Source organism: Homo sapiens, chromosome 2, assembly GCF_000001405.40.
Source record: "Homo sapiens chromosome 2, GRCh38.p14 Primary Assembly".
Classification (NCBI taxonomy): Eukaryota; Metazoa; Chordata; class Mammalia; order Primates; family Hominidae; genus Homo; species Homo sapiens.
In genome coordinates, this window is record NC_000002.12 from 185,773,477 (window position 1) to 185,782,889 (window position 9,413).

The 9,413-nt window shown below is 34.3% G+C and overlaps 1 protein-coding gene across 6 annotated transcripts in view; it reads left to right on the forward strand.

Moving 5' to 3' along the window:
* FSIP2 (fibrous sheath interacting protein 2) overlaps positions 1 to 9,413 on the forward strand; it is a 96,157-nt gene that overhangs the window by 36,343 nt on the left and 50,401 nt on the right. For all 6 annotated transcript variants that reach the window (XM_047444333.1, XM_047444329.1, XM_047444331.1 and 3 more), the window contains exon 14: positions 9,229 to 9,286. In XM_047444333.1, the coding sequence (XP_047300289.1) occupies positions 9,229 to 9,286 (58 nt within the window). The remainder of the gene's footprint in view (positions 1 to 9,228; positions 9,287 to 9,413) is intronic.

A 9,413-nucleotide genomic window follows, 5' to 3' on the forward strand; every position in this document is an offset into this window, starting at 1 on the left:
AGATCACCTGATATTTTCCTGCAGGTTACTGAGCCTTTCTTAACTACTTACAAATCTTTTCAAAATACACGTGCTTCAGTTTGTATAGTTTCTAATGCTGTGTCTTTGAGATTATTTTATTTGTCTGTAGTGTCAAATCACACCAGTAAGTTTTTAATCTCAGATAATGAGTTATTTTACAAGTTCTATTGGCTGTTTTTATATCTTAACCTCTCTCCCCCTCATTAAATGTTTCCAAGGTCTTTCCTGTTAATTGTGTCATCTGTGCTATTTCTAAATCTATTTCTGTTGACTAATATTTTTCCTAGCTATATCTCTTCTTGTTTCTTTCCATGTATTACATATTTTATTGCATATCGGACAGTTTTACTGCTATGCTATTGTTGAGTTTTGTCTGCTTTTAAAGATTGGAGAATTTTGTTTTAACAAGTTTATGTATGATCATGATTTTTTAAGGCTTATATGTAAATGCTGTTATGGGACATATAATGTCAATTTTACTTTATGGATCCTTCAGTTCTCCTAAATGGAGATAAATTTTCTGGGGTCTCTGTAAGATGTGCTAGACATTCAACCAAGTCCCTCCTCTCTTACTAGTCAGTTAGAAAATATTTTCCAGTCTTGTGTGAAATTGAGACTTATTCTTTTCACACCTGCACAGTAATCTTTTTTTCTACAAGAAGTTGTCATTTGCCTGGGTATCACACTAGATTGTACAACTTAATATAGAGCTAAAAACTCAACAGGATGCCATTTTAGAAGCATGGACTTCTTCCTGTATATAATGCCATATTTTCCTGGTATTATTCTCTATAGTTTGTAGCTGCCTTAGCTTTTTAAAATCTTTGTATAATTTCTAACTCCTCAAATTAGTTAAACCACCATAGTATGTTATTGCCTGGAAAGTGTCTTTAGTTAATAATATGTGGTAATTTAAAACTTCACTTTATCTTTATCCCTTTGTGCAGAGAGTACATTATTGTGATTCCTGTTTTCCATAAGTAAAAAGATTATTCATATAGTCTTCTAATTTTCTGATTGATTATGGTAAGAAGGCTTGTCAAGTGTCAGTTATTCTCTTATGACTGCAAACCATCAAGCAGGATTTTTTTTTTTTACTATACTTTAAGTTTTAGGGTACATGTGCACATTGTGCAGGTTAGTTACATACGTATACATGTGCCATGCTGGTGTGCTGCACCCACTAACTCGTCATCTAGCATTAGGTATATCTCCCAATGCTATCCCTCCCCCCTCCCCCCACCCCACAACAGTCCCCAGAGTGTGATGTTCCCCTTCCTGTGTCCATGTGATCTCATTGTTCAATTCCCACCTATGAGTGAGAATATGCAGTGTTTGGTTTTTTGTTCCTGCGATAGTTTACTGAGAATGATGATTTCCAATTTCATCCATGTCCCTACAAAGGACATGAACTCATCATTTTTTATGGCTGCATAGTATTCCATGGTGTATATGTGTCACATTTTCTTAATCCAGTCTATCATTGTTGGACATTTGGGTTGGTTCCAAGTCTTTGCTATTGTGAATAATGCCGCAATAAACATACGTGTGCATGTGTCTTTATAGCAGCATGATTTATAGTCCTTTGGGTATATACCCAGTAATGGGATGGCTGGGTCAAATGGTATTTCTAGTTCTAGATCCCTGAGGAATCGCCACACTGACTTCCACAATGGTTGAACTAGTTTACAGTCCCACCAACAGTGTAAAAGCGTTCCTATTTCTCCACATCCTCTCCAGCACCTGTTGTTTCCTGACTTTTTAATGATTGCCATTCTAACTGGGGTGAGATGGTATCTCATTGTGGTTTTGATTTGCTTTTCTCTGATTGCCAGTGATGGTGAGCATTTTTTCATGTGTTTTTTGGCTGCATAAATGTCTTCTTTTGAGAAGTGTCTGTTCATATCCTTCGCCCACTTTTTGATGGGGTTGTTTTTTTCTTGTAAATTTGTTTGAGTTCATTGTAGATTCTGGATATTAGCCCTTTGTCAGATGAGTAGGTTGCGAAAATTTTCTCCCATTTTGTAGGTTGCCTGTTCACTCTGATGGTAGTTTCTTTTGTCAAGCAGGATTTTTTTATCTAAGCTTCCACAGAATTAAGGATAGAACACTCCCAGACCATCTGTTAACTCTATCTTCCAAAATTGTGGGTTTTTTGTTTTGTTTGTTTGTTTTTGTTTTGCTTTCATGGAGCCTCATTCTCTCACCCAGGCTGAAGTACAGTGGTGCAATCTCGGCTCACTGCAACCCCTGCCTCCTGGGTTCAAGCAGTTCTCCTGCCTCAGCCTCCCGAGTAGCTGAGATTACAGGTGTGCACCACCATACTCAGCTAATTTTTGTATTTTTAGTAGAGATGGAGTTTCTCCATGTTGGCCAGGCTGGTGTTGAATTCCTGACCTCAGGTGATCCACCCACTTTGCCTTCTAAAGTGTTGGGATTACAGGCGTGAGCCATCGCACCTGGCCAGGTTTTTATTTAAAAATTACATTGTGCTGGGTGCAGTGGTTCATGCCTGTAAACCCAGCACTTTGGGAGGCCGAGACGGGTGCATCGCTTGAGCTCAGCAGTTTGAAACCAGACTGGGCAAAATGGTGATACACTGTCTCTACCTAAAGTACAAAAACTTAGCCAGGCATGTTGGCACACAACTGTGGTCCCAGCTACTTGGAAAGCTGAGGTGGGATAATGACTTGACCTGGGAGGCAAAGGTTGCAGTGAGCCAAGATCATGCCAGGGCACTCCAGCCCAGGTGACAAAGTGAGACTCCATCTCAAAAATTAAATAAAATGAGAAAAATTAAAAATTATAATAATAATAGCTTTCATGCTCTATATTTTACTATGGATGTACAACTCAACACTGTACATTTTGATGTCAGTTGTCCTGCTTTTCATTGCTTTATACGTATTTTTTAACTTTCCCTCTTAGAATCCCTTTCAGTGTAATGGTTACCTGGGTGTATATTTCTTCTATTTCTAATTTTGATAACATTATTTATTTTTAATTTACTTGAATTGATATCAGAAAATTAAATCTCTATTGACATTAATTTTGATAACATTCCTATTATTCATTTTTAATTTATTTGAATTAGCATCAAAAAGCATAGGCTTTAAATCTGTTTTCATTGACATTAAATTTTCTTTATAGCAAAATATGTGATATGATATATGACATTTTTAAGTGTTTTATGGATATACAAAATAAGTCTATTTTCTGTCTGAGGGATGCAAGATTTTTATTATTATTATTTTGAGACAGAGTCTCGCTCTGTTGCCCAGGCTGGAGTTGCAATGGTGTGATCTCGGCTCACTGCAACTTCCGCCTCCCGGGTTCAAGTGACTCTCCTGCCTCAGCCTCCCGAGTAGTTGGGATTACACCATACCCAGCTAATTTTTGTATTTTTAGTAGAGACCAGGTTTCGCCATGTTGGTCAGGCTGGTCTCGGACTCCTCACCTCAGGTGATCTGCCCACCTCAGCCTCCCAAAGTGCTGTGATTACAGGCGTGAGCCACCGTGCCTGGCCAGGATGCAAGATTCTAATCCACATGTTGGCCAGGCATATGGTCTCTGTTGCAGCTACTCACTCTATCATAAGGAAATCAGCCAGAGATAATACATAATGAATAGGCATGGCTATACATTTTCCGTCAGTTTTGCTTCTGAGGATGACCATAACCTCCTCCCTGAAAATAACAGAGTGCTGTAAAGTACAGCTGAGGGAGGTTAGGGGTAGAGAGACCTTCTTTTTTTCTCAGCAGAGGGCTTAATATTTACTAATATATTAATCCTGTCCCCATAACACAGAAGTAACTGTGTTTTTATAAAAAAATCAAATTATATCTTCTGCGAATAATAAAATTTAGTTACTTCCTTTGCAATTCTTATAATTGTAGTTTTTTTTTTTTTTTTTTGCACTCTTCCCTTTCCTAAGACCTGAAGTGCAATGATTAATAAAGTGGTAAAAGTGGGCTCCTTGTCTTCTTTCTTAATTAAAAAAAAGTTTAAATAATTTCTCATTAAGTATGATATGTACTGTGATCTTTTGGTAGATAATAATGTCAGGTTAAGAAAGTATCTTTCTATTTCTAATATGCAAAACTTCCTTATTAGTGGTGAATTTTGACTTTTTAAAATATAATTTATGTATCTGTTAAGGCTATCATATTTTTTTGTTAAAATGGCCACACATCCTTGATTAAATCAATTCTATCTATCGTGTGTTTTTCTTCTTATACATGTGTAGATTAAATTTACCAGTAGTTTGTTTAGGATTTTAGCATCTAGGTTCTTGAGAGAGGTTGGGTTGTAATTTTCCTTTCTCATAGTATCCTGATACAGTTTTCGTGTCAAGATTATACTAGCCCCATGAGTTAATTATGTTGCCTGCTTTTACTATTTTATAAACGTTTACAAAGTTGAAATTATATATTCTTTGAATGTTCGGTAGAAGTCACTGTTAAAATAAATAACCTAGTTTTTGTTCTTTTAGTGAGAAAAAACTAAATTATGAATTCAATGACTTTAGTGATTCAAAACTATTTTTCTTCTTTTTGAGTGCTTTTAGCAAGTAACTGCTTTTTTTATAAATGTATTTAATTCATCTAAATTTTCAGATATATTTGCATAAAGTTATAATATATCCTATTTATTTAGATGAGATTGTTGAAAAGCAGTATGGCATAGTTGCTAAGCAGATGTACTCAGGTAACTAGGTTTAATCCATACTCCAGTACTTAAAATGCATGTTAGTTTGGCCAAGTTATTTAATGTCTCTGTTCTTTAGATTTTCCAACTATAAAATAAGTATAATAGTAGTAATACATATGATGATTGTTATGGGAATTCAATGAGCTAATATTTGAAACTTTTTAGAACAGTATGTGAAACTTAATTGGTGATATGTATGAAAATATAAAATGTATCAAAAAACTTGCAATATAATATTTCATTTTTTTCTAAATCATGTTTAATATCCAATTTTGTTTATTAGTTTGTACCCATGAGTTAGTTGTTAAATTTTGTGCTCCTGGCTTAGTTATTCTAATTTTTACTTTATTTTTGTTGGTGGTCATTTATAATTTAATTGCATTGTAGACTGAGAGTATGATCTTTATGATACCAACCATAAAGAGGAATCTAGAGCATGCTTTATGGCTTAGCAAACATGATTACTATTTAATAGTTTCTGTGTGGTTGAAAACAATGAATATTGCTCAATTTGGGATGTAATGTTCTAAATATGTCCATTCAATCAAGACGGTGAATTGTGTATTTCAAATATATAGCTTATTATATATTCAAATACACATATATACTTATTTTTTACTCCTTGTTCTAAAAATTATTGAAAATAATGATAGTGGGCTTGCAAACTCCTTAATGTAGCTCTGCCCATTTTAAAAAATATTTTTGATCTAGTGATTAGACCTATCCAAATTTTAGAATCATCATATCTTCCAGGTGAATTGAATATTCCTATCATCATGCAGTGACCTTTACCATAAGTTATGTTTTTTGCCTTAAATGTGTCTAATATTAATATAGAGATGTCAGCTTCTAATCTTAGTGTTATTTGTTTAGATGCCTCTTGTAGACAATCTACAGCTGGATTTTGCTTTATTTTTATTGTCTTAGCATTTCTGAATTTTAACTGAACCCAATCAATTTGTATTTATGTAAATTACAAATCTTCGGAAGTTTTCTACTGCCTTATTTGTGGTTTCTTTGTCCTACTTTTTAATATATTTTTATTTATTCTTTATTGCATTCTCTTAGAGTGCTAAATTTAGTTTTTATCTAGTTTTTTTTTTACTGTTTTACAAATTGCATAACATATGTATATTTCTTTTAGCATTTACCCTAACATTTTTGTTTAAATTTTTATGGATACATAAAATCAGACATATTTCTGGGGTACATATGTATTTTGATATAAGCATACAATGTATAGTGATAAGTCTGGTTAATTGGGAGATCTATCAATCACTCAAACATTTGTTATTTCTTTGTGTTGAACGCTGTAAATTTACTCTTCTAGTTATGTTGAAGTATATTTAAAATAAAAGTTAAAATTGGATAATTTACTTCTAATCATAACTTTATATCATACTTATTATTGTCCAATAGTTTAAATTTTGACATTTTAAAGGTTTTATCAGTCAAATTGCTTTCTTATTATTGTTTTATACAGATTTTATTTATATTTGCCCACCTGTTTACCAGCTTATTTTGTTCTCCACTCATTCCTTCTTGCATTTAATACTTCTTGGGATTATTGCCATTTGTTCTAAAGTACTGCATTCTTTAGAAAGGTCTTTAGTGAACGTATTTTGGGAGTAAATTCTCAGATTTTATTTGATAAAATTGTCTTTATCCTTGTATTAGAATGTCATTATGTCCAAGGGTATGAGTAAGTTTCAGGGGACAGTTTTTTTTTTTTTCTTAGCACTTTAAAGATAATGGATTTTTAGGCTGAGGCATAAGAATCACTTGAACCTGGGAGGCAGAGGTTGCAGTGAGCCGAGAGCGTGCCACTGCACTCCAGCCTGGGTGACAGAGCAACACTCCATCTCAAAAAAAAAAAAAATTGTTTTGTTTAATTATTTTACTTTTTATTCTATGATGTAATTATTCCTGTGTAAGTGATTCTTCCGTCCCCCACCTCGGGCTGTTTTTAAGATGTTTTCTTTATTTTTTCTTTAGTATTATTATAAGGAGCAGTTCTGTACAAGCTTCAGCCATTTCCTCTTTCTATATTGCCTCTCTTCATTTTCGTTATTATCTTCTTCTGAGTATTAGACTACCTTCTTGTCTCATGTCCTTTAACAACTTTATTTTCCATTTCTCTCACTGCATTCCTGTTGTTAATTTCTTCAAATATGTTCTCTAGTTCGCTAATTCTCTCTTTAGTTATTTAGTTTTTCTATATAGTTTATTATTTCATAAATTAATTGCTTTGTAAAATTGAACTATGGTATATTATATATATAAAATACAATTTCTAAATAGATATTTTTAAATTTGGACTTCTTATAGGCTCTTTTTCTATTCTTATCCTTTCAAAACCCTTCTTTATATATTTAAACATATAAAGTCCTCTTATTTGCTATTTTATGTTTGCTAATTCAAATATTTGAAATCTTTGAGGTCTAATTTTAATATATTGTTTTTGTTTCTGTTAAAAGCCATGGTTTCTTGTTTTTCTTTTTTTATATTTCTGTGGAGAGTGGGAGGTTGTTACTGTTATATGTGAGCTCAGTTTTGACAGAAATTTATTGTTGGGGATTCAATAATATTTGGATAGGTTGTAATTCTCTAAAGAAAATTTACATACGCTGCTGCCAGTTATCTGTAAGAGCTGTGAACACAGATTCATTTTAAATTAAATTCTCATATGTAGTTTTAGGGACAATACAGTTTCTGTGGATTTGAAACTCAAGGTCATAGAAAACATAATCTGTGATTACGAATTCTTAGCATATAATTTTATCTTCTCCTCCTCCTTCTCCACCCACAGCCAAAAGCCAAGACATAATTTCTCTGCTTCCTCTGTGGCATGATTTTTTTTTTTTTGTAGATGACTAATTGAAGATGTAGCTCATTGGGATCCTAAACAGATGGCCCCTGACTTACTTACAGTGGTTGGACTTATGATTTTTCAACTTTAGGATTGTGTAAAAGCAATAAACATTCAATAGACACTGTATTTTAAGTACCTATACAACCATTCCGTTTTTCACTTTCAGTATAAGCAGTCAATAAATTATATAATAAATTCAACACTTTATTATAAAGTAGGCTTTGTGTTAGCTGATTTTGCCCAGCTGTAAGCTAATGTAAATGTTCAGAACAAATTTAAAGCATGCTAAGCTAAGCTATTATGTTCAGCAGGTTAGGTGTATTAAATGCATTTCCAACTTAACATATTTTCAGCTTATGATGGGTTTATTGTGATATGAACCCCACTGTAAGTCAAGAAGCATCTGTATATTTTTAGGAGCTCTTAGTTTTAATTCTCCATCTTTTGGGGGGGCCCAATGTCTTGTTTTAAATGCTCTGACCAGACACTAAATTCCAGATGTGGCCAATGTCCCTAGGGCAGGTATCAGCTTCAGCATTTGTTTACCACTATAGATTTGTGTTCTCACATTTGTCTTACCTTCAGAAAGTTCTCCTATCTCTTTGAAAGTTTAGCTATTTTTAACAGTATGGCTTTAATGCTCTATACTGAATGCTAGGCAAAATTAAAAATATTTGTTTAGCATATTGCTGGAAACCACAGAAGAGATTTTTTGTATTAAAAATAGTGTTGTCTTCACATTTAATTTTCAGGTATGGGCACTCTTTTTTTTTTTTGAGACGGAGTCTTGCTCTGTCACCCAGGCTGGAGTGCAGTGGCGCGATCTCGGCTCACTGCAAGCTCCGCCTCCCAGGTTCACGCCATTCTCCTGCCTCAGCATCCCCCAGCAGCTGGGACTACAGGCGCAGGCCGCGCCCGGCTAATCTTTTTGTATTTTTAATAGAGACGGGGTTTCACCGTGTTAGCCAGGATGGTCTCGATCTCCTGACCTCATGATCCGCCCTCCTGGGCCCCCCAAAGTGCTGGGATTACAGGCAATGTCAGTTCCTTTCTCTCTAAAATTGATCCACACCAAAACATGTTAAGTACTGAGGATATATGTGGGAAGTCATAATCAGGTGTACACAAGAGTAAACATAATTACTGTGTAGCATGATGAGTTTTATAATATAGACATGTTTAGAGTGCTTTGAGAGCACTGGGAAGGGTATTTATTCAGGTACGTATCAAGGAAGGCTTTCAAGAGTTAACATAAGCTGAACGAGACCTAAAATATGAGAAGTTAAAATACAGCACAGGGTGTTCTAGACAAAAGAAATTGCAAAACCACAGTCCAGAGAAGCATGAGAAACATGATATATTTAGGGAAGTGCAAAATATTCTGTCTCTGGACCATAGCATAAGTATGAAAGACTAGTCAGAGAAGACACTGGAGAGGTAGATAAGGACATCAGATCTTACAGTACAGGTCCTTGCTAAGGACTTTGGACTTCACTGTGGAGAGTCCCTGAAAGCCTGTAAACGAGGCAGTGATAACAGAAAATAAATACCTACTGGAGGATTACCATTTAGCAAGTTGCTGAGGATGGATACAAACTATGTAATTTTATTTTTCTGATAAATAGGACCTCAGGCTCATGCTACAGACCCGGGTATATTTTCTTCTCCTGTTTACACAAATATGTAAGTACCTAAGGAATTATATATAATCATAACTAATTTTAATGATTACATAAGAGTGCTGCTCATAAGCAAATGATTCCATGGAATCCTCCATTTTTATAGTTCTACTTGGATTTAGTGAAACTTA